A 25,718-nucleotide genomic window follows, 5' to 3' on the forward strand; every position below is an offset into this window, starting at 1 on the left:
AAAATGGGAATAACAAAAATATCCAGTACCTAGTATCTTGCTCAAAGTAACTATAAGAAATGAGTTAAGCAATAAAATACATTTAACACAGTACTGGGCACAGAATAAGAAGCTCTAAGGTTTGTTGTTAGTGATCAGTCTTCAAATAGTAAAAAGCCTGAAGAGTTATGTGAGGAGGGGGCAGTGAATCACTGCTATAGTGGGGACATAGCTATTGATGCAAATGAATTACATCTCAGCATGGGTTCAAAGTCTCCAAGACATAGAAATGGTTGGAAGAAAAACTGCTGGTTATATTGTCTAATTCTGATTAATAAAAAATTGCCATTCTCATTAGCAGTACTTGCTTCCTTATGACACCTTTGATCAGCCTCCTAATAATATATGTATAGAAGATAGCACAGGCTATTAGGAAGTACACTAACTAGTAATGAGAAATAAGAATTCTAGTCCTAGCTTTGATATTAACTAGGAGTGTGATCTGGGATGAGCCACATGAAGAAGAGGAGAAAGAAAACAGCATATTAGCTGTTATTTCCAAACTTCCAAGTTTACTTCAGAAATATAAACTTAACTTTCTCATAAAATCCTTAAGACTTAACTGGCCCTTCAAAAAGTAATTAAATTACTAAGTTACAAATTTAGTTCAGAAGTCTTTCAATCTGTGCTTAAAAATCTCTGGTATTTGGAGCCAAATGGCAACCTGATCATTTCTAATTTAGAGTTCTCCATCTCCTTGCCTCACTAGTGATGACAGCTGAGCCAGCTTTTATAAAGAAAGGGTGTGTAGGGTAGTAGTGAGCAGTGTGGGCTGTAGAGCCTTACCACCTAGATTCTGTAACACCTTGTTGGCTGTGGAGTCTGACTGACTACTTAAGAAAACTAATGCTAAGAAAGCTCATCTGTGATTATAACAGCACCTACTAACTCATAGGATTAATGAATATAAATTTACAATTATGCTCAAGGCTTGACACAAACCTCAAGGCATTATTAAACAGTAAAGCTAAACAATGTTGAGCTATTTAAAAATTACAAATTTTACCTATAAGGAAGCAGAAACCAATTTTGGGGAAACTCATTCTGGAAAAAATATTTTAAAAAATTACCCCATTTTCCAATATGGTAACTGGTTTGCTGAGCTCCAAAACTGTGTGCTTTCTCTTTAAAAAAAAAAAAAAAAAATTGGCTAGGCACAGTGGCTCACACCTGTAATCCTAGCACTTTGGGAGGCCAAGTGGGTGGATCACAAAGTCAGTTCGAGACCAGCCTGGCCAATATGGTGAAACCCCATCTCTACTAAAAATAGAAAAAATTAGGTGGACGTGGTAATGTGCGCCTGTAGTCCCAGCTGCTCAGGAGGCTGAGGCAGGACAATCGTCTGAAGCTGGGAGGCGGAGGTTGTAGTGAGCTGAGATTGTGTCACTGCACTCCAGCCTGGGCGACAGAGCGAGACTCCGTCTCAAAAAAAAATAAATAAATAAAATAAAAATAAAAATAAAAATTTAATTCAGAGTAATACCTTGAAATTTATATCACTTCCCCCTTAGTTCTGATGTTTTCTAAATTATAAAATACATGTTTATTTTAACAAGTGACACAAAACAAGATTAAGAAGTATAATACAGGCAAAGCTAATTCTCTCTTCCCAAATCTATTCCTAATCCCACCTCCTAAAATAATCAAGATTATCAGTACAAATGTTTTTATAAGTTCATTTTTTTTCTTTTCAAAATTACTAGATATGATACTCAAAAGCTTACCTCCAGATATATTGATGGTGGATTATGCTCCCCACCAAATTTGTCCAATAGGGCCTCTATATGTTCCTGTGTCAACTTAATCATTTGTTTGATATTCCACACCTAAAAAATATTTCAAAAGAATTTAAATAAAAATCACTTAGTATATGAATTAGAAATATTTTAACATAGACAACTACATCACAGTAACTGCCAGTGTTCCTCAAATTTTGAGCTTAGAGATCATTTAGTACAGTGGTTTTTCTCTTTTATTATGAAACATCTTTAAATTTTTTTCTACACTAGTAATACAACGTATTCTCAACTATAAAAGATTCAAAGAATACATGAATATTCAGAATAAACCATGAAATCTCTCTTCATCTTCCTCACATTCCCAGGCCCCCTTTCAAAAAGGTTAAGTTCTGTTTATGGTTTGGTGAGCAGCCTTCCATGTCTCCCTTTTACTCATGGAAAAAACATTAAGACATACATATATGAAATGTACACATATAATTAAATACTATATATAAAATACTTTTAACACTTGCTTTTTTCATGGAGTAATGTCTCAGAAGTCTCTCCACGTCAATATGCATATATTTTACTCCCTAATGGTTATATAGCATTCATTTCATAGCATTGCACTGCTTATTTCAACAGTCTCTAAACTTCAGTGGTATCCAGGGGTTAGGTGGGCATAGACAATTTTAAGAGAATTTCCAGATCCTCAAGTTTTATCTGTATGCTCCCTGATTGATCTGCTTAAGAACTGGTTCTCCTTGTCTACTTCCTCTTTTAAAATAATTATTTTCCACTTTATAAAAGAAAGGCAAAGTTCTTTTCCACCTCAAATACTACTAAGATGCACCATTCTGAGACGTATAAATTCCAAAGTACCTAACAAATAGACAATTAAATAGGGAAATTCCTTGAGAGAAAAGGGGGAAAAATTAAGAGCAGGACCATATTTTATCAATGAAACAAATTTGTGGCAAGGCTCCAAGCCTTACCCATCACCAGCCAGCCAGACTAGAATCCAGAAGTTTAGTGGTTATTAAAAGGCATATATTAGTATATCTGTTTTAAGATAAATAAGTAATCAGGTTTTTTTTCTTAATAAAAAAGAAAAACAGTCCAATTTGTCTGGTTTGATAGTGAGAACTGGCTATTAGGTTATACGGAAGATTCTGTTTCTAAGTTGAATGATCTAAATCTGCAGCTTTAAGGCTTGTCCAAAAAATGTATTTAACATAAATATAACACACAGTAGAAATTATGGCCTTTTAAACTATTCAAAGTTATAATGAAAAAATGTCAGATATCAATTTTTAAATGTACTGGGAAATAAATGAAAAAAAAGAGTTCCAAATCTCTTGATTTAATAATTTCCTTACTAAAGGACATTTAGATTATTCCATTTCCTCAACATCAAACAATACTCCAACAAATAGTTCTGAACTGCTTTTCAGAGTAAAAGTGCAAGTTTTATTTTTTGGTATCTAGGTATAGGATTCCAGGATTGAAGGATATACCTATTTTAAAATTTAATAAATATGCCAAATGGTCTTCCAAAAGAAGAAATGTATCAAGTCAAGTCCCTATCTGCAGGGTATAAGTCCACTCTTCCCCACAATCTCACCAACACCCAGCACAATCACACTTCTAAACTTTTGCCAGTCTGAAAGGGAAAAGGCAATCATGTTTTAATTTGTATTTCTTACAAAGTTGAGCACTTTTTATGCTTACTGGCCATTTGAGATTTTGGAAAATTCCCTATACTGCACTCCCTTTTATTCTATTGAGTTGTTTGTTTTTTCCATATTCATTTATAGATAGTCTTTATTCTGGATATTAATCTTTATTCTTCTACAAATGTTAAGGTCTTTCAATTGTTTTTCATGACTCTTGTCATATAAAGTCTTGCTACTCAAAGTGTGGGTCCACAGACCAGAAGCAGCAGCATCTTCTGAAAGACTGTGAGAACAGCAGAAGCTGGCCTAGCATAGTGGCTCACATCTGTAATCCCAACACTCTGGGAGGCCGAGGCAGGTGGATTGCTTGAGCCCAGGAGTTCACAACCAGCCTGGGCAACATAGCAAAACCCCATCTCCATAAAAAATACAAAAATTAGCCGGGCATGGTGGTGCATGCCTGTAGTCCCAGGTACTCAGAAGGCTGATGTGGGAGGATTACCTGAGCCCAGGAGGTTGAGGCTGCGGTGAGCCATGAGTGCACCACTACACTCCGGCCTGGGCAACATAGTGAGACTCAGTTTCTACCGCCACCCCACAACCTGCCAAAAAAAAAAAAAAACCAAAAACCAAACAAACAAACAAAACACACAGCAGAAGCTCAAGCTCCATCTCAGATCTACTGAACTTTAACAAAATGATTCATATGCATATTAAAGTCTGAGAAGCAGTGATAGAGGTTCCAAATTGTTTTTCCAGTCAGGTATTTCAATGTTTTCTTTCATGATGCCTTTGCTAATTTTTCATATCTCCAAAAAGTGTCAGATGGCTTCTTTTGTCAAGCTACACTTACTCCCTAGGTGATCTCATCCAATCTTGTATCTTTATATGCCAACTATGAACTGATGAAGCCCAAAATTTAAAATCCAACTCTACCTTTTCCTCTCAACACCAGATTCCTAACTGCCTGCTGAATATGTCTACTAGTATACCTAATAGGCATTTCAAACTTAACATGTTCAAAGACTAACTTCTGATCTCCCCCATCACCCCCACAAAACTTGTTTTTCCTAGTCTCTTTACCTCAGGAAATAAGCTCCCTTCTTTGAGTAAACCAAAAACTTCAGCATCATCCTTGACTCTTTTCTCACATCTGACAATCCATTTCAATCCATCTCCAAATCAAAATATATGTAGATATTAGTCACCTTCTCTAACTTTACCACCCTGGTCTAAGCCACCTTCATTTCTCTGTTAGTTTATTAACAAGAGTTTCTGAAATGGCCTCTCCTATTTCATGCCTAGAATGGCACAGTAGCTATTCTTCAAAAACTGTAACTGCAGGCCATGCATGGTGGCTCACGCCTGTAATCTCAGCACTTTGGGAGGCTGAGACGGGAGGATCGCAACATAGTAGGACCCTGTATCTACAAAAAAAAAAGAAAAAAAAAAAATAGCCAGACGTGGTGGTGTGTGCCTGTGGTCCCAGAGGCTGAGGTGGGAGGATTGCTTGAGCCTGGGAAGTTGAGGCTGCAATGAGCTGTGATCGCGCCACCCCAACCTAGGCAACAGAGTGAACCCCATCTCAAAAACAAAACTATAACTGCAGATCACATGTCATTCTCTTGCTCAAAACCCTCCACTGGCTTCCCCACTAAAAATCACCAAAGCCATGACCTGGCCCTCTGCTATTTGTCTAGCTTCATTTCTTATTGTTCTCCCGTCACTCATCCCATTCCAATCACATTTGGCCTAACTGAACGTGCCAAGTATACTCCCAGTGCAGGACTTGTGAATTTACTATTCCTTCTGCCTGGAATGCTCTTCCCCTAAGATTTCTATAAAGTTTGCTGTCTTACCAAGTTCATTCATCTCTTTATCCCAATGTCACCTTATCAATGAAGCATTCTCTTACCTTCTCATTTAGAAAGGCTCTATCCCTCCCATTCCTTAAAGGCACAGAATCAGCTTCTATGCCCTTTGTTAATTTTATTTGTTCCGTAGCATATGTGACCACCTTACTATATATATTTTACGTGTTCATTTTGTTATTGGTGTGTGTCTTCCCACTCCCCAACAGAATGAAGTCCAGGAGGGCATAGGTTTTTGTCTTATTTTTTCTGATTTATCCCCAGAGCCTAGAACAGTGCCTAGCATACAATAAGCAAACATATATTTGTTTAAAAAAAAATGAATACTTTATTTATTTTTAAAACAGGGTCTCCGTCTCCCAGGCTGGAGTGCAGTGGCACAATCTTGGTTTACTGCAGCTTCAGCCTCCCTGGCATCAATCCTCCCACCCCAGACTCCCAAGTAGTTGGGACTACAGGCACGCAGCAGCACACCTGGCTAATTTTTGTATTTTTAGTAGAGATGGGGTTTTGCCACATTGTCCAGGATGGATCTTTCCTTAGAGCATCCCTCTATGATGTGTTCACTGATCAACTCGGCAAAACTGTTTTCTAAGTCATAATTTGATAACATAAAGTTGATTATGTTTTCCATGTCTATTAGCTACTTTAAGATCAGAAACATTTTCTTTTTTTGTCCCCTCATGATTTATTTTGGTGTCTTAGTCATAATAGGTATGCAATTAAAGCTGAAGATTTAAGCTGGTTTCAGAATAGGGTAGGAAAGAAAACAGGTCATCCTAGTTCAGTGATTCTTTCTTAGGTCCAGTAAATTCAGGACAATATTACCCACACTCCCTTTTTTTTTTCAATGTTCCATAAAAACTCATATGCAGTTAGCATAAAGAACTATTTCTCTCAAAGGATGGGAGAGAGAAAGTGGGGGAAAATAATCAGAGATGAGAAATGAAGAGAATGAGCTGATTAGAATAAAATTTTCTTGCTGGGGTATAAAAAACGGTTAAGATTGGGCTGGGAGTGGTGGCTCACACCTGTAATCCCAGCACTTTGGGAGGATGAGGCGGGTGGATCACTTGAGGTCAGGAGTTCGAGACCAGCTGGCCAACACGGTGAAACCCCGTCTCTACTAAAAATACAAAAATTAGCCGGGCGTGGTGGCGTGTGCCTGTAATCCCAGCTACCCAGGAGGCTGAGGCAGGAGAATCACTGGAACCCAGGAGGCGGAGGTTGCAGTGAGCCGAGACTGCGCCACTGCACTCCAGCCTGGGTGACAAGAGCAAGACTTCGTCTCAAAAAAAAAGTAAAAGAAAATGATAATATTGGCTAGGTATAGTGGGGCCAGACCATAAGTGTCTGGAAGTCAGGTTTTTTATCTCCCCAAAGAAGAGTAATTTTATATCCGAAGAATAAAAAAAAGTCACAATGACCCTTGTTGGAATTTTAAAGAATGTGTTTGGGAGAGAAAGTCTTTCAGAATCTCCAGAAGAGTCAGAGAAAGAACTTTGATGACTCTTATAAAATAGAGATATATTAAAAAGTAGAATAAGATACTGAAAAGCTAACGGTAGGTACATAGTTAAAACATCTTCTTGGAAAAAAAAGAAAAACCTGTTACCACAATCCTAAAAGGGAGATGAAAAAATTAAAAACAAAACTAAAAACTTCAAGAAAGTTACTAAAAGATCTCCTCTCCTGTTTTAATCTCTTCAGTAGACCACAGCTATTACAGCCAAGCAAGCTTAGTAAATAACTGATCATTTTTAGTGACTTTACAAATGGCAAAACTCCTTCTCCAAAAAAAAGACTGAGAATTTTTTTTAAAAAATCCTAGAAGATGCCCATGTTAAAATATAAATGCAGACAAACTGCTATGGAAGGACATGAAGGGGAGCTATGGCACAAAAAAAAAACTACAGCCATTGGCTCCCCTCATCCCTTAAAGAAAATGTAATTAAAATATCAATTAGTAACAGGTGATTTTATATATATATTCATATATATACTTATATATCTTCTAAATTACTTTAAGAAGCTAGCAAAACCTAGATGTCAAAACTCAACAAAGATAACATAAAAAAAAATAGGCCACGTACAATGGCTCATTCCTGTAATCCCAGCACTTTGGGAGGCTGAGGCAGGTGGATAACCTGAGGCCAGGAGTTTGAGACCAGCCTGGCCAACAAGGCAAAACCCTTTCTCTACTAAAAGTACAAAAATTAGCTAGGTGTGGGTGCGTGCCTGTAGTCCCAGCTACTTGGGAGGCTGAGGCAGGAGAATCTCTTGAACTTGGGAGATGGAGGGTGCAGTGAGCTGAGATCACGCCACTATACTCCAGCTTGGGCAACAGAGCAAGACTATCTCTAAACAAACAAACAAACAAAACATAAAATAATCCAAACTGTGAAGAAAGGCATCAAACTCTTAAATTAATATATATGATATATAAACATATATAATAGTATATATAAATATATATATTAAAAGCAAGAATAATCATTAATTAGGAATCCAGTAACATAATACTTAATAGGTCAAAGGGGAAAACTACAGGACTAGCCTAAGAGATTCCAAGAAACAAATAATTGTTACGAAAGGTGGGGTTGGGGGAGGAACAGAGGGAGGGAAGGGAGAGACAGAAGTGGTCTTAAAATTTCAAGAAAATGGTTGAAAGAATCACAGTACTGAAAGCAAGGAGGCCAGGACCATCAACCACTTAGTTGGAAAAATTCAGAACATTCCTGAAAAACAGAAAACGAATATAATCAGTTTGACAAAGAAATCAAAGCTAATAAATTGCAGACCAAAACACAAAAGTAAATTTCTACTGAGATAACTCTGGAAGAACAGCAAGCCTAAAGACAACACATATAAAGAAGAAGCATGAGGAAACTATAAAGACATGAGTTTTGAATCATACAGTCATCAAATTAAAACCTCAGGTAACGTAAAACAGATTACTGCTGAAGAGAGAATTAAAGGACTAGAAGGTGATTCTGAGAAAATTAGCCAAAAGGCAGAGATAAATGAATGGAAAATATGAAAGACACGAAGCACAAAATGAGTTAATCTGGGAGGTAAACAGGGAATGGGGAGATATTTGAACAGAAGCTGGCCATAAATTTTCCAAAACAGGTGAAAATAAAAAAGTTCAGTTCTTAAAGTCAACCAGAAAGTAAAGACAAGTCAGACTGATGGCATACTTCTCAACATCAGTAAAAGAAGCAAGAAGATAATGAACTGACGTTAAGGTGCAAGAAGAAAATAACTGACAACCTAGAAAAAGGAAACTGAATCAAGAAGTAATATCAAAGAAAGAGTGGCATGAGAGGGCTGAATAGTGGCCCCCCACCAAGATAACTAAACATATACCAAGACCCAGAAGAACCTGTAAATGTTATCCTATGTGGCAAAAGGAACTTTGCAGATGTGATTAAGTATTGTGAAACAGGGAGATTATTCTGGATATCTGGGTAAGCCCTAAATGTAATCGACAAGCATACTTATAAGAGGGAAATAAAAGGGAATTTTACTATAGATGATTAGGTGATATAAAAACTCAGCAGAGAAAGATCTGAAGATGCTACACTGCTGACCTTGAAGATGGAGGAGGTGGCCATGAGCCAAGAAATACAAGCAGTGCAGCTCTAGGAGCTGGAAAAGGCAAGAAATCAGATTTTTCCTTATTGTCTCTAGAGAGAGCAAAGTCTTGCTGATACCTTGATTTTTGCCCAGTAAAACAAACTCATTCTGGATTTCCGACCTCCAGAAATGTAAGAGAGTACACCACATTTGTGGTGTTGTAAGTGACCAAGTTTGTTGTTATTTATTATTGCAGCCATAGAAAATGAACACAGATGGAGAATCTAGAGACTAATATACATGAAAGTAAACCTAAATAAGCATTTAGGTTTTACTAATGAGTTTATTAATAAGCATATTAGGTCTTAACAAAATAAGCATTATTAGATTACACAAAGTAACAACAACACAATGACTACATTAATGGGGGAAAGGGCCAGCATTACAGCATTTCAAACCTATCTATTATTATTCAAGAAGAGAGATCTAGGAACATCTTGTGCCAGATATCAGAACAACATCAGAGGCCAGCTTGAAGGGACTCCTACTGACCAAATTTGGAGATTTTCAGCAAAAAGAATAAGTACTGTAATTGACTATAACAGATGGTATGCAAAAACAAACAAATAAACAAAAAACCTTCAAAATTCCATAAAAATTAAAAGGGTGGGAGAGCAGTTGCTCACACTGTAGGGGATTATTACACCCTTAGAAAACTGAACTTTAAATGAAAAAAATTATGCATGTATCCCGCCTTTTTAGGAAAAATTAGTTATTCCCACTTGATATGGGGAAATGCTTCTTTACAAAAGAATGCCAGCTAATATAAAATAATTGGTTCAGGAAAGGATCAAATGATGCTAAAAATCATTAGGAGAAAAGCTGATGGAGAACAGGATACTTACATAGTGCCAAAGTATTTCGCCACAGATTAAAGATGAAGGGGAAAACATACCTTCAAGTGGCTTAGAATCATTAATAGTGGAACAACCCAACATATGCCTCTTGATGTGATACAACATGAGACATCACCCATGAAGTATACATGCAAAACATTTAAACTGAATCTAATCAAGCCTTCATACTTAACTTCTGGTTTAGAAGAAACACAGGGAATAGAGAAATACGCTAAGACTGCTACACTGAAATAATCAAATATAGATTGTGGAACATTCTCTAAGACATTTTTCTTCTCTTTGAAAGTCAAAGCCTTGGCAATTGGACTAATCCAAAATGTGGGACATTCTAAGACAACTGTCCTGGATTCTTTAATAAATCATTTCATGGGAGAACAAAACAGTAGGTGGTCAGTTTAAGACTAAAAGATAACTACTACTAAAAGTCAACAAATAATTCAGTGCATGCAGAGTGGATCTTAGTTTAGGGATGGAAGATAGCTGCAAGAGACATTCTTGGGACAACCATGGAAATCTGAACACATATCAGATGTAAGATGATAGAATTTTAACCTTCCTACATATGATATTTTGGTTAAATGAAATAATTTCCTTTTTCTTAGGAGATATACACACAGTAAAATGTTAACAATCATTGAATCTTGGTAGTATAGGTAGTGTTTATATAAGTGTTTATATAAATATATATTTATATAAAGAGGCATAAGAATTAGAATTATAGAGACAAAAAACTTATTTGTAGGAAACATGCTATCTACAGAAAAACCCAAGAGAATCTACAAACCATCAGGGCTAATACCTATTAACTATAAAAACTAACAGAAGAGTTTAGCAAGGTTTGTTGGATATAAAATCAAGGACATAAAATTACATGGTGTTCTAACACATTAGCCAGAGCCAATTAAAAAAAGATGCTTCTCATGATAGTAACATTATAAAGAATCTAGAAGAAAAGTCTAACAAAAGATTCCCAAAACTTTTGTGACGGAAACAACAAAATAATGTGCAGGTGCACAAAAGGCTACTAAGAAGAGAGACAGAGTCAGATGACTCTAGAGGTTTCCACCCCTGTTTTGGTAGCTTATCAAAAAGTTGGCTCAGGAGGTCTGAGTTTGTTTCATGCAAGAAAAGGCTGATCAGCCACAGAGTACTGATGGCTTTCCCTAGTAAGACCATTTCACCAACCTCAAAGCTCCAATTATTACACAGGAGCCCTTTCCACAGTACATAGTTCTAGATGTGTCTGGCCAGTGCACACATCTATATGGGGATAACAGACCTTAGGGAATTGTGTGTGCCTTAATACTTCTTTATTTTTCTCCACTAAACCTTATTTCACATTACACCAAATGACATGTATGTGTGCATGCAGATGTGTTCCCCTTCACTTGACAAAGACCTACATAAATATCCTTTTATGGGAAGATTCAATATTATAATGATGTCAATTTTCCACAAATAAATTCAGTGTAGTGCAATAAACAAAATTCCAAAAATAATTTTTCCCCCATGGAACTTGAAAAACTGATTGTAAATTTTTTTTTTTTTTTTTTTTTGAGATGGAGTCTCACTTTGTCACCAGGCTCGAGTGCAGTAGCATGATCTCGGCTCACTGCAACCTCCGCCTCCTGGGTTCAAGTGATTCTCCTGCCTCAGCCTCCCAAGTAGCTGGGACTACAGGTGCACACCACCATGCCCAGCTAATTTTCTGTATTTTTAGTAGAGACAGGATTTCACCATATTGGCCAGGATGGTCTTGATCTCTTGACCTCGTGATCCGTCCGCTTCAGCCTCCCAAAGTGCTGGGATTACAGGCGTAAGCCACTGCGCCCAGCCTGATTCTAAAATTTTTATGGAAGCACTGTATAATAGTAGCCTTTGGCTATTTTGAATAATAAGGAGGGTAAGACTGGTGTTACCAGGAAAACAAGACTTACAGAGAAATGATACTAGCATAGAGACAGAAAGCCCAAAGAGACAGAATAGAGGGCTCAGAAACAGAGGCACAGGTATTTATTTACACAGCATATGGTTCACATTGGCATTATAATTTAGTGGGGAACAGAACGGACTATATAATAAATATTTCCAGGGTAAGTGGCCATCCTTTTGGAAAAGGTCAACTAATCCAAAAGAAAATGGGCAAAAGACTTATGAATAGGTAGTTCACTATAGGGAATTCGAATATCTAATAAACACATAAAATAAATGACCTCATTAGTAATCAAAGAAATGCAATGAAAAACCAGGCCTGGTACAATGGCTCATCCCTGTAATCCCAGCACCTGTGCAACATAGCAAGACCCCATCTCTAGAAAAAAAAAAAAAAAAGAAAAAAAAGAAAATTAGTTGGATGCGGTACCACATACTTGTACTCCCAGCTAACAGAGGCTGAGAGGCTGAGGTGGGAGGATTGCCTGAGCCCAGAAGTTTGAGGCTACAATAAGACAGGAATGCATTATTGCACTCCCACCTGGGCAACAGAGCAAGACCTTGTCTCAAAAAATACATACATACATATGAAAAATCAGTGAGACTGCAAAAAAATTGGGCCTAATAATACAAGAGTTGGTAATCATGTACATGTAGCAACAAACACTATCATATTCTACATGTGGTATAATATAAATATTTGAAAGTAAACTGGCAATATCTAGAGTAAAGCTAAGGATGAGCATATCCTATCATGTAGCTACTTATATTCACATATGTACAAGACATTTTCACTGCAGCAATGTTTATAATAGCAAAAAACTAGAACCAACTCAAATGTTCCCTAAGAGAGAAAAAATGGCAAACTGGTACATCTGTATAACAAAATACCACATATTAAGTCAAAACAAAAAGCTAGCGCTATATTTATCAACATGAATACATCTCAAAAACATAATATTGATGAAAAAGCAAGTTTCAGGATATATACAACTTTTAAAATGTCAACAATCTACAGAAAAAGATTTTCTTTCTTAAAAAAGAAACAGGCTTTATTCCAGCAAACAGTTTGCAAACCGTGGAGATGTACCTTGGTAGAAAATAAAGGCGCCTTCTGAGAGAACAAAGAAAAGGGGTTGTCATTTACAGAGAAAGTTCACAGTCAGGTTCCCACTCTGGTCCACTATACAAATGAGGGGTGCAAACTTGTTCAGTTCTGATTGGCTGAGGCAGGTCACAGAGTGTTTGTTAGGTACAAAAGGCCAAATGGTATTTTCTGGTAGCTGTTAATTCAGGTGGCATAAATAGGAACAGACAGCTATGAAAGTCCTAAAGTTACTGGGTGTATAGGTTTTCCAGGAATGCGGAGTACACATATGATCTCTACATGTCTGCAAAGGATCGCGTGGGTCTATTTTGAATTTGGACTGTTAGCCACTCAGAATCTGCCTTAAAGGGTTGGTTCTTTCAGGGTTCACAAAAACATGCAATCAACGTTCTAGATTGTTTGTGGATCTACACCCACAGCAAAAGTATCTGAAATGTGCATGGGCATGATAAACAGTAAATTCAGGATAATGGTTACTTCTGAAAAGGCAGAAAGGGCAGAGAAAAGTATCAAAGTAAGACTGTAAGGTGCTATATCTGTGTCTATAATTTTTTTGTTTATAAAAATCTGAAGCATATATAAGACAATTCAACAAAACTGAGTAATAGGTACATAGTTATTATATTATTCCCTACACTTTACTATATACTTGAAGTAGAAAGGAAAAGTGGGAGGGCGAGAGGGAAAGAGGGAAGATACTGAAGGAGGAGGATACTAAGTAAGTAAGCTAGCTCCTTCCAGGAATAAACATAGTAAAGCTGTCCTTACTTTGGTAACTGGGGTGGCCTTAAGCCTGCCTCTTAAAATCCCTGCACCCTGGAGGAAAGCCAGTCAATGAATACATGACACTTGTAGTCATTTCCCATTTAGAAAAGAATCCTAGACCTATGTAACTGCAAAGTTTTTGTCAATTTAGTCCTTATTCAATAAACAAGAATCACAAGACACTATGAATATCCAATGGGAGGAAAGAAAAAGATCACAATGAACAAACAGAATAAATGGGCAAGGAGAAAACTGAAATATTATTACTAAGAAAACACTTGAGGAGAAGGGGTAAATAACAGAAGTAGTATTGATAAAGATCATAGTAGTGATATGTAACACAAAGAAATGTCCCAGAAGGTAGAGAGGTTAAAAAAGAGAGAGCAAGAAAGAAAGAAATGGGTGATACAAGTAAAAAGTTGAAGAGATATAAAGAATATGTTTGGGAAGTTCAAAATACATTTAGTAAGAGTTCTAAATGAAGAAAATAGAATAAATAAAGATTATGCTAAAAATATTTGGAGTTAAAAACACCAATGGTCTGAGTAAAAGGGCTCAGTGAGGCTAAGGCGGATGAATTAAAAGACTCATATCTACATAAATCCTAGTTTACATAATTAAATTCCAGAAATTCAAAACGGAAAACTCTAAAAGCTTCCTATAACTAGAATTAATTTGGCATCAGACTTTTCATCAGCAACATTAAAAGACAATGAAGACGGAAAGTAGATTACTTGTTGACTTAAGGCTGGGGGGTGGGCAAATTGGTGGGAACAGAGAATGACTGCTAATAAATCCAGGGGTTTCATTTTTGAGTGATAAAAATATTCTACAATGTACTGCGGTGATGGCTATACAACTCTATGAATATATTAAAAACCACTAAATTGCACATAGTATGGTATATGAATTATGCCTCAATAAAACTGTTATTTTTTAAAAGATAGTAGAATAATGTTTTCACTGTCTGGGCAAAAATGACTGTGAATCTGGAATTTTACATCCAGGCAAACTACCAGTCAAGCATGAGGGCAAATGAAAACCTTTTTGGACATGTTAAGTTCTCAAAAAATTTACTTCAATAGGAATCATCCATCTGAAAACATTTCTATCTTTTGACCTAGCAATTCCACTTCTAAGAATTTTACCAATCTCTCACAAAATTGGAAAAAAGGAGTAGGCCTCTCGTCCCAGCATTTATAAAGATAAAACAAATGATTCACCAGGTTAAAAAAAAAAACTGATTTTTTAAGGCACTATTTTTACATATAACAAAACAAACACAAAACTGACGTAAATAAGTTGGTCCCAAAACAATAGAAAGTAAAAGGAAATACACCCCACAAAAAGCCATGTTTCCAACTAGAAAGTTAAAGATAGTGACTGTGGCTATATGGTAAGCAAGGGGAGAGTAGAAACAAGATGGGTATCAGAAAAATTAGGCAATATGCCAGGTTATGAAGGATCCTGAAAGCCACGGTAAGTAGAGTTTTAATTTTATTCTAAGAGCAATGAGAATCTAAAGTTTCAAAAACAGGTATGTGTGACATAATCTGATTTATATTTTACTAACAATTTACTTCTGATATGGTTTGAATCTGTGTCCCCACCCAATCTCATGTCAAATTGTAATCCCCAATGTTGGAGGTGGGGCCTGGTTGGAGGTGACTAGATCATGGGGGTGGATCTTTCATGAATGGTTTAGCACCATCCTCTTGATGCTGTCCTTTTGATGAGTGAGTTCTCAAAAGATCTGATTGTTTACAAGTGTGTAGCACCTCCCCCTACCCCTTGCTCCTGCCATGTAAGACGCACCTGCTCCTGCTTTGCCTTCTGCCATGACTGTAAGTTTCCTGAGGCCTCCCCAGAAGGTGAGCAGATGCCAGTATCATGCTTTCTGTAGAGCCTGCAGAACCGTGAGCCAATTAAACCTCTTTTCTTTATAAACTACCCAGTCTCAGGTATTCCTTTATAGCAATCAGAGAACAGATAAATATACCATCCCATTTTATAGACGAGCACATTGTGGCATAAGTGTTAAGTATATTGCTCAAGGCCACTCAGCTAGTAAATTCTAGACAATATAACTCTAGAGCAGTATATATTATAGTACCTCTAATTATCACTCTAGTGAAGAATGGATTACGGTGCGCCAAGAATGAATGCAGGGAGGAAGACTAGTTGAAACTATGATTGTGTTAAGCAACCATAGTTAAGCAAGAGATGATTGCTTGGGCCAAGAGTGAATGCAGGGAGGAAGACTAGTTGAAACTATGGTTGTGTTAAGCAAGAGATGATTGCTTGGACCAAGGTGAAAACAGTGGAGATAGGGCTACTGGATTAGACATGGAGGAAGAGTGAGAAAAAACTAAGAATTAAGGCTGATTCTGAAATTCTGATGTGTGCAACGGGTGGACAGTGATGCCATGAGGGAGAGAAATCAAGCATTATGTCACCAACAGGAGAGGCTTACTAAATGATCAAGAAGGCAGCTGGTTATGCAAGTTTAGAACCCTGGAGGAGAGATGAGGCTGAAGACATATTTGGGTGTCACTAGCATACTGGGAGGCAGACCTACAAGAGAGTATAGGCCAAGAAGGCTCAGCCCTGGGGATCATAAACATTTACAAGAGAAACCAAAAATGGCTGAAAAGAAAGAAACAGACACTGAGGTAGAAGGAAAAAATATTCAGTTAAGAAAATTTATTAGATAAGAATAGGAACACATAATAGTGGCTAGAAGACATTAGGAAAGGTAGGAATTGTATATCTGTACATATTTGGTCATTCCTATTTACATACATTTGCAGATGTATTGGGGCTGGGAGATAATAGAGCATGTTTGTGGCTAAAGGGAATTTAATCGAGGGGAGAAGAATGATATGGAAGACAGAGATGCAGGAAAGATGAAATCTGAGTCACAAGTAGAGAAATCAGACTGTCGGGAATGGTCTTCGATAACAAATGAAAGGAAGACAGAACAAGAGGACCAATGCAGACAAGTTTGTAGAATTGGTGGTGAAAAGATGACAAGAGCTGCATTTAATTTCTCAGTAAAGTTTGAAGTGAATTCCACAGATAGGAGTGGGAGCTGTGAGAGGTTTGCAATGAGTGGAGGAAATGAATTTTTTTTTTTTTTTCTGAGACAGAGTCTCATTCTGTTGCCCAGGCCAGAGAGCAGTAGTGCGATGTTGGTTCACCGCAGACTCCGCGTCCTGGGCTCAAACGATTCTCCTGCCTCAGCCTCCCAAGTAGCTGAGATTACAGGCACACGCCACCACACCCAGCTAATTTTTGTATTTTTAGTAGAAACGGGGTTTCACCATGTTGGCCAGCCTGGTCTTGAACTCCTGGCCTCAAGTGATCCACCTGCCTCGGCCTCCCAAAGTGCTGGGATTACACACATGAGCCACTGCGCCCAGCCAGCAAACGCATTTTTAATTGGGAAAGTGAAGAAGCAGCTGCACTGCCAGACATTGTTGATGCCCTGTTGAGGGTTTTGGTATACATTTAAAGCACTACATTCAATTGCCTAAGTGCAGGCAGGTAGCGGGCATTTTGTCAGGCCCATATGATGAAAAGAGAGAAAAATTAGAGAGCCAAAGGTATTAGTAATTTTTACAGTCATTTCATAATAGTATCTTGACCCTGAATTATGTGGACTGTGATGAAACAAATAGTATCACTTGAGAATGGTAAAACTGTAATCAGGAGCCAGACAAGTGTCTACATAGATAGAACCCTTTTAAGTCTTTTAAGGAAAAGGCTGATGATTTAGGAGTTTGATGATCATAGTTCCACAATTCCTTTGGCCTGGCAGAAGGTGAGAAGTAGAAATAGAGAAGTGATATTCATGAAATCAATAAGCAGAAACTATTCTAACTTAGAGTTTAACTTAGAAATCATCTAAAATAATCTAAAACTGAATAAGAGGATCAAACATTTTTTTCTGGCTAATTAAAAGCAGATTAAGCCCTAAAGTTTCAGGGATGGCAGGGGAAAGGAGGGGAAACAGTATCAAGAATAACTGTCCATAACGTCAAACTGTCCACAAAGTCATCCACTAAATTTACGTAACATTTACAAATTCAACAATTGCTCACAATTACTATTCAAATGGGTTTTCAGTGAAACAGATCAAATTTCTGTCACATAAAACTGAATTTTCGGAAAGGAGCTGTATTTGGAGCAGGATTTAAATTGAAGGAAAATATGTGAAACAATAGATGTAGTGTAGGTTCAGGACTTTTAATTGTAAGTATTTTTATGCACCATAACAATATACATATCATGTTTCCTGCGTTTTGGTACAACTCCTGGTCATAACTTTCTCTCACTGTAACCTGCTTTCCCAGGTTACTCTCAGTTCTCCAAAACCCTGGGACACCATTCCAGAGCACCACATCCTATCATTCCAAAATTAAAAGTCTGTGGGAAACACTGTCACAAATAAACAACTGAGGCATGACAGCCTGTTAGGACTGTGCGCTCTGTGAATTTGGAACTTACCCCACTTGATCAGTTTTACTCCTAGCACCTAAGTATACTACCTAGCATGAAGCAGGTAGTTTATAAGTGCTGGCTATATAAAATATTAAAAATTCTATATTCTGGGTAAGCTTAGAGGAGACTGATGAAATCACATTCAAGAAGGCTCACCTGAGGCTAGAGAAATAATAGTTAAGATCAGAGAAGCACTAGCCACCTTAGTCAAGATGTTATATTTTTGTTCTTTCTCAACTGGGGTTCCATGAGATACTTAAGTCTTAACGACCTAAGGCATGACCTAGTGTAAGTAATGAATTATCTTCTCTCCATGCATCTAGGATGGTACTTATAAGACTCTCAGAGAGTTAAGATGTATGCTCACTAGTTTTATGTACTTTTTCGTAAACCCTGAAATAAAGAACAGTATTTTTCAGAGAGCACTTTGTAAGACAGTGTTTTAAGGATATAATGTTATGATGCATTCAATGAAAAAAAAATCACCTATTTCATTTGCTTTATGTGCTTTGTCCCTTTGAAAAAATAGTTTTCAAAGATTTTGCAACTTCTCCATAATATAAGATTGCTCCAGCTTTCAATTCCATTTTCCCTGTGCCATATACTCCAATAACAAGTAGGTGATAAAAAATATTATGCAATACACATTGCACCAACCTTATACAGTGCCTACCTTGTGCCAGGCTCCATGAGGCTGGGACTATTATTACCCCTATTTTACAGATGAGGAAACAGGGAGGTTAAAAAAAACTTGGCCCAAGTCAGACAGCTAAGTAAATGGTAGAATTACTCATATATTGCATGGTCTATGTCTCTATAAGAAGTAGAAGAAATATTCCATCATTAGGTATTCTAATCAAAAGACTGACACTTTATACATGCCATAGCATGAAGGCAGGTTAGAACTTTAAGATAATTCCAATTTAGGTAAAAATGGATCAATGTAGATTAATTTTTCATTCAACAAATATTTAATGAGTGCCAGGGTTCTAGGCAATGAAGACAGTGTAATTAAACTAAAGTCCCTGACCTCATAGAGCATACATTCTAGTTAAGGGAAGATAAACGCTAAAAAAAAAAACAGACAATGTCAGATGGTCATAAAAAGTTATAGAGAAAAACAGAGACTGTGAGCAGGATCGGGGTGGGTGGCTATTCATTTTGTAGTATGGTAAAACTTGAAGGTCTCATTGGTAAGATGATACATGAACAGAGATAGGAAGGAAGTGAAACAAGTTCAGCATGCAGGTATGTAAGAGAAAACTAGTTCAAACAGAAGGGAAACAAATGCAAAAAGCATTAAGGTAGAAGCAAAATTGGTATGTGCAACAGACATAGCATTAATGACCCCCAATTAATGGCTTCTCTGTAGGCACATCTTTTACCCGTAACTCTGCAATCCCCTTTCCATTCTGACCCTGGGCTTCTCCTTGCTCTTGTGATACCTTGTAATGTAGTATTAGCAAACATGACCCAAAGAGAAGCTTAAAATGCAAATATGCAAGTCTTGTCCTCTTGTACAATTGAACTTGCTCACTCTCTCACCTGTGCCTTTCTATGAGAACATGCCTGGACTAGTTTACTAGAACCAAGTTGTCCACTCAAGACCATCCTAGACTAGCCATCTACCTAAAACCACCACTGGTCACAGACATGAATGAGCACAGCCAAAGTTAGTGCAGTGCAGAATATAGTGTGCTCATTGACCCAAGCAGTGGTTGTTTTAAGCACTATGCTTTGGAGTGGCTTTTGTACAAAAGAAAATTAATACGTTCTGTTAGGGAAACAGTAGTCCACAGCAGGAGGAGACACAAAAACTTGTGAATATTCATAACAGCATTATTCACAATAGCCAAAAAGTTAAAACAGTCCAAACATTCATCAGCTGATGAATAAATAAAATGTCGCATATCCATTCAGTGGAATTTTACTTGGTAATAAAAAGAAACAAAATGCTGATACATTCTATAACATGACCAAACCTTGGAAACATTACACTAAGTAAAAGAAGCAGTCACAAAAAACCACACAGTGTATGATTCCACGTATATAAAATGGTCCAGAATAGAAAAATCCACAGAGACAGAAATTAGATTGCCTAGAAATGGGGGGAATATAAGGATTGGGGGAGAATGGCTAAGGGTGTGGGGTTTCTTTTAGGGCTAATGAAAACATTCTAAAATTAAATTTGGTGATGGTTGTTGTGCACACTGAATACACTAAAACCTCCGCACTGTACACTTTAAATGAGTGATTTGTATGGTAGGTGAACTCAATGAAGTTACTTTTGAAAAAAAGGAAACAATATGATCAATTATATTTTTAAAGTATTACTCTGGCTGCTATACTGGAAATGAACTATAGTGTAAATGCCAAGAAACCAGATGGGAAATGATGGCCAAGTGAAAGATGATGGTGGCTTTTATCAGACTGATAGTGGAAGAGATGATAAGATGTGTCAGATGCTAAATATATTATAAAGGTACAGTCAATAGGATTTGCTGGTAAATTGGATGTGAGGTATGATAAAAGGGAGTCATCCTCGACTCTACAGTTTATAACCTAAGTCAAAGGATGTAAGAGCCAAAAATCAAAAAGAATGAAGAAGGAACACTGAGGTTGGGAGGACAAGGCATAGGATGCAGAATTAAAAATTATATTTAAAATATCCCGGGAGGCACATTAACCAGAGTGGAGATGTAAAACAGGAGCTGGGTATACAAATCTGAAATCAAGTAAGAGATGTGGCTGGAGATAAAAGTTTGGAAGTTGACAGAAATAACATGTTCTTTTACATGTTCTAAGAGACACCTTTCCCCCATCCCCTTCTTAACATCTTTGAATTCAGATTCTACCATACAATTGATGACATCTTAAAAATCACTGTTTTCTGACCAGGCACAGTGACTCATGTCTGCAATCCCAGCACTTTGGGAGGCCAAGGTAGGCAGATCACTTGAGGTCAGGAATTCGAGACCTACCTGGCCAACATGGCGAAACCCCGTCTCTACTAAAAATACAAAAAATAGCCAGGCATGGTGGCGGACACCCGTAATTCCAGCTACTCAGGAGGCTGAGGCATGAGAATCACTTGAACCTGGGAGACAGAGGTTGCGGTGAGCCGAAATCACGCCACTGCACTCCAGTCTGGGCAGCAGACTGAGACTCTGTCTCAAACAAAAAAAAAAAAAGAAAAAAAAATCACTGTTGTCCAGATGGCAGGCATGATATACACAGTAGCTATCTGCACATGTACAACTTAATCAAGGCTATTCATGCTGTTGTCATTCAACTCAGTTATCTGCATTGTTGGTATTACAAATGTTGGAATTAACTGCCACTTTAAAATACCTTCAGAAAGATTATAAAATTATTCTGCACTAAAACAAAATTCAAGTATATATAATCAAGTTATTAAGTGTATAAATAAAAGAGAAAGTCATGACTTTTAACACAAGGAAGTAACTTTCACTGAAACTTGGTATATTTGATAGATCCCATTTAAACAGGGTCAACCAAAAAAAGGAAGAAAGAAAGACGATAAAAGAGGGCAAGGGGGAAAGGAAGGAAAGAGTAATCATCATTGCATGTAGATCACATCTGAACATGGAAGGCAGTGGTGAACATGTAAATAGAGAGAAAAGAGAAATAATCAAAGGCTTTTTTCTTGTCATGAGGGTGCAGGAGAAAATACCAGATGCAGAGCACTTAGATGACATTCCCTAACAGAAATTACAAACCTGTCATAAGTGAAACGTATGACAGTGATGGAGAACTTCAGCTATCCTGACATCTGTTGAAAGTCTTACTCTGATTATTTTTATGAAAAAATGAAGTTAATAATTCCTTACATGTAAGATATACATGCTTATTTTAGATAAGACTTCTAAAAGAGAAATTAAAAAATAGAAACATTTCAAAAATATTCTTAAAACATTTCAAAATTATATGCTAAAACTTTAAAGGAAAAACGCCAATTCCATACTTACTCGTTATTATTAGTTTAGACTATTTACAATAGATCTTATCTCTTCATAACAGTAAAATGCCCTATCTGCAGAGTAACACAGGGCATTCAGATTCTAGGTAATCTTAGTACTTCAAGTCTTTGCAGGTAGCTCTTTTTACTTCCAAGTCTCTAGTGATATCACCCTTCTGACTTAGGTTAACTAGAAAAAAAAAAAAAAAACCTAGTCTATCTTCCAACTAGTCTACTGTCAGTTTTTAGTTTCCTGAACACTAAAGCAAAAGAGGAAACGGAACCACGAAGAGCACTTCTAAACTTCATTGTGAACCTACATGACTATCACTCCCTAGGCAGTAATTCTGGCTCACTTTTCTTCAAGAATTTTTTTTCTTTTACTTCTCCTAACAAAAGACATTACAAATCAAAATCACTGCCTTTTCTTACTTAAAAAAAAAAAAAAAAAAGACTTTTAACAAATTTGGTTTAGATGCAAATCACATGTTCAAGAGTAACTCAGTCTGGCTGGGCGCGGTGGCTCACGCCCGTAATCCCAGCACTTTGGGAGGCTGAGGCGGGCAGACCACAAGGTCAGGAGATCGAGACCATCCTGGCTAACACGGTGAAGCCCTGTCTCTACTAAAAATACAAAAAAAAATACAAAAAAAAATTGGCTGGGCATGGTGACACGTGCCTGTAGTACCAGGTACTCGGGAGGGTGACGCGGGAGAATGGCGTGAATCCGGGAGGCGGAGCTTGCAGTGAGCCGAGATCGCGCCACTACTCCAGCCTGGGGGACAGAGCAAGACTCCGTCTCAAAAAAAAAAAAAAAAAAAAAAAGAGTAACTCAGTCTTTGCCCCCATATATTTGTATCTGATCTAAACCTGGTGGAAAAGGGTAATCAGCTTACAGGGATTTCTGTCTGGACACTATGGCCAGAGACAGAATTATAGTAAATTCTGGCCACCACAGGGACAGAGGCTACACACATACACATATTGAGAAGAAGTACCCATATTCTCTAAAGCAAGGACTGCCTAGCTCACTTAGTAGAACTAGAAATTAATGGATTTTTATATTCAATATTCACTTTCTCCAGAAGAAACTCACTTAAGTGTTGAGGAAACCTACTCTAACTTCCAATATTTTTAACCTTTATTAACCTTTAGACACCTAAAAAAAACCAAGAGCATAAAAAACAGACATGCAATTGAATGAGGAGATGAACTAAGGCATCAGAATTATTTTGAAGCCAAAAAGTATAAGGATTCTTAAATTGTAGAGCTGTGCTGTCCAATCTAGTAATCATTAGACATGTATGGCTATTTAATTTTATATAAACTAACATTAAATAAAATATAAAATTTAGTTTCTCACTCTCACAGGCCACATTCCCAGCCACTGCAGCTACTGGCTAATATACTGCATAGCACAGAAAATTATATTGTATATAGTGCTATTATGGAGGAGCTGCACTCACTAAAGAAAACAAAAATACTAAATTGCACAGAGGCCAGACACGGTGGCTCATGCCTGTAATCCTAGCACTTTGGGAGGCCGCGGCAGGTGGATCACTTGAAGTCAGGAGTTCGAGACTAGCCTGACCAACATGGTGAACCCCGTTTCCACTAAAAGTACAAAATTAGCCGGTTGTGGTGTCACATGCCTGCAGTCCCAGCTACTTGGGAGGCTGAAGCAGGAGAATCATTTGAATCTGGAAGGTGGAGGCTGCAGTGAGCCGAGATCGCACCATTGCACTCCAGCCTGGGCAACAAGAGTGAAACTCCATCTCAAAATAAATAAATAAATAAATAAATAAATTGCACAGAACAAGCTTGAAATTTAAAATGTCTGTTGAAATAAACCTAAAAAAGGAGTTAACTAGCAAAATGGACAAAGCTAAAGTCCATGGTACTTTAACAAAAAGTTAAAAAAAAAATATGAAGTAAAATGAAAGCTTAAATTATGAGAGTAAAGTTAATATCCCAGAATACAGATTAAATTATCCTACATACATCTAAGAGAAATTTTATGAGAATTAAAATAAGAAGAAGAAATAACAAAGAAAATTTAAGAATTTCTCCTTGAGCCAAAAGGCAAATAAGAGTCTTCAGAACCAAAGTTCCTTTTTTAACAAAGAAAGAATAAGAGCTGGGCATGGTGGCTTATGCCTGTAAGCCCAGCACTTTGGGAGGTTGAGGTGGGAGGACTGCTTGAGCTCAGGAGCTTGAGACCAACCTGGGCAACATAGCGAGACCTCATCTCTACCAAAAATAAAAAAAAATAAAAATTAGCCAGGTATGGTGGCATGTGTCTGTAGTTCCAGCTATTCAGGAGGCCAAAGAGGAAGAATCACTTGAGCCCATGAGGTGGAGGCTGTGGTGAGCCATGATTGTACCACTGCACTCCAGCCTGGGTGCTTGGAGGGATACAAAATTAAACAAATCCTGCTAAGTTAAACTCAAAAGGAAATAAGAAAGTACCAATAAAATTCTAAGGAATAAAAAACAAGAATCAGATTGTTGTATGCTAGAAAATAAGAAAACAGTATCTTCAAAATTCTAAGATATATATAAAAAATCATATCAATACTACTACTTCTGGCATGATGAAATGAGTACATTGATAAATCCTCTCCCCCAAAAGCAACTATAAAGCTGGACAAAACCGTCAAAACAACCATTTCAGTGCTCTGGACTTCAGCTAAAGGCTGAACCTGAGTAAGAACATCACAGTCTGTGGCTTTTTTTTTTTTTTTTTTTTTTTGAGACAGAGTTCTGCTCGTCGCCCAGGCTGGAGTGCAATGGCACGATCTCGGCTCACTGCAACCTCTGCCTCCCAGATTCAAGCGATTCTCCTGTCCTAGCCTTCCAGGTAGCTGGAATTACAGGCATGCACCACCATGCCTAGCTATTTTTGTATCTTTAGTACAGACAGGGTTTCACCATGTTGGCCAGGCTGGTCTTGAACTCCAGACCTCAGGTGATCCATCTGCCTCGGCCTCCCAAAGTGCTGAAATAAGAGGCGTGAGCCACCATGCCCAGCCATCTGTGGCATTTTTGCTTGAGGCTGCTGCCATCCCTTCTTCAGATGACTGACCAATCTCTCCCTCTGTTGGCATGTGTTCAGCTAGAGACTGTGTGTGTGTGAGGGTGTTGACAATTGATTTGGAGTGCTGTGAATTTAAGTGATAACCTCCACTGCAAGTTGGGGGCTTAATACACTTTCCACACTCCACTAGTTGAACGGACACTGCAAGCACGTGCTACAGGGTCTGGACAGGGCCCACACCTCCACACATCCTTGACTGACTGAGCCTCTGCATGTTCATGCACACAGGAGACACAGAGGAGCCCGGAGGAAAGCAAAAGCCAGGTCAGGCAACATGGTGGCCTGAAGTTTGAATATACTCCCTGATACACAGATAGACACACAAAGAAAGAATAGAAACCTTACTGGCCTTGAAATATTTGAACAAAACCTCTGACAAATCTTTAGCTTGACATTAAGCTATGGAAAGACAGGAGCAACCCCTAGGAAGCCAAGAATAAAAATAAAAACAAGGAGGGGAAAAAGAACAAATTGAGCAGAAATATTAGTAGTCACACATTACGGGGGTGGTGGGAACACACTTCAAAGATT

General features: G+C 37.6%; 1 protein-coding gene across 18 annotated transcripts in view, besides 1 other annotated feature; it reads right to left on the bottom strand.

Annotated features, from left to right (window-relative positions):
• BRAF (B-Raf proto-oncogene, serine/threonine kinase) overlaps positions 1 to 25,718 on the bottom strand; it is a 211,602-nt gene that overhangs the window by 135,020 nt on the left and 50,864 nt on the right. For 17 of the 18 annotated variants that reach the window (NM_001378474.1, NM_001378475.1, NM_001378471.1 and 14 more), the window contains exon 2: positions 1,764 to 1,865. The exons of the other annotated variant lie outside the window; for it this stretch is intronic. In NM_001378474.1, the coding sequence (NP_001365403.1) occupies positions 1,764 to 1,865 (102 nt within the window). The remainder of the gene's footprint in view (positions 1 to 1,763; positions 1,866 to 25,718) is intronic. 18 annotated transcript variants of the gene reach the window in all.
• Positions 17,268 to 17,468: a silencer, noted in NCBI's record as "peak6792 fragment used in MPRA reporter construct". NCBI's record gives its function as "represses an SCP1 promoter by STARR-seq MPRAs in K562 erythroleukemia cells {active_cell/tissue: K562}" and the evidence as "EXISTENCE:reporter gene assay evidence [ECO:0000049][PMID:32103011]".

Source organism: Homo sapiens, chromosome 7, assembly GCF_000001405.40.
Source record: "Homo sapiens chromosome 7, GRCh38.p14 Primary Assembly".
Taxonomy (NCBI): Eukaryota; Metazoa; Chordata; class Mammalia; order Primates; family Hominidae; genus Homo; species Homo sapiens.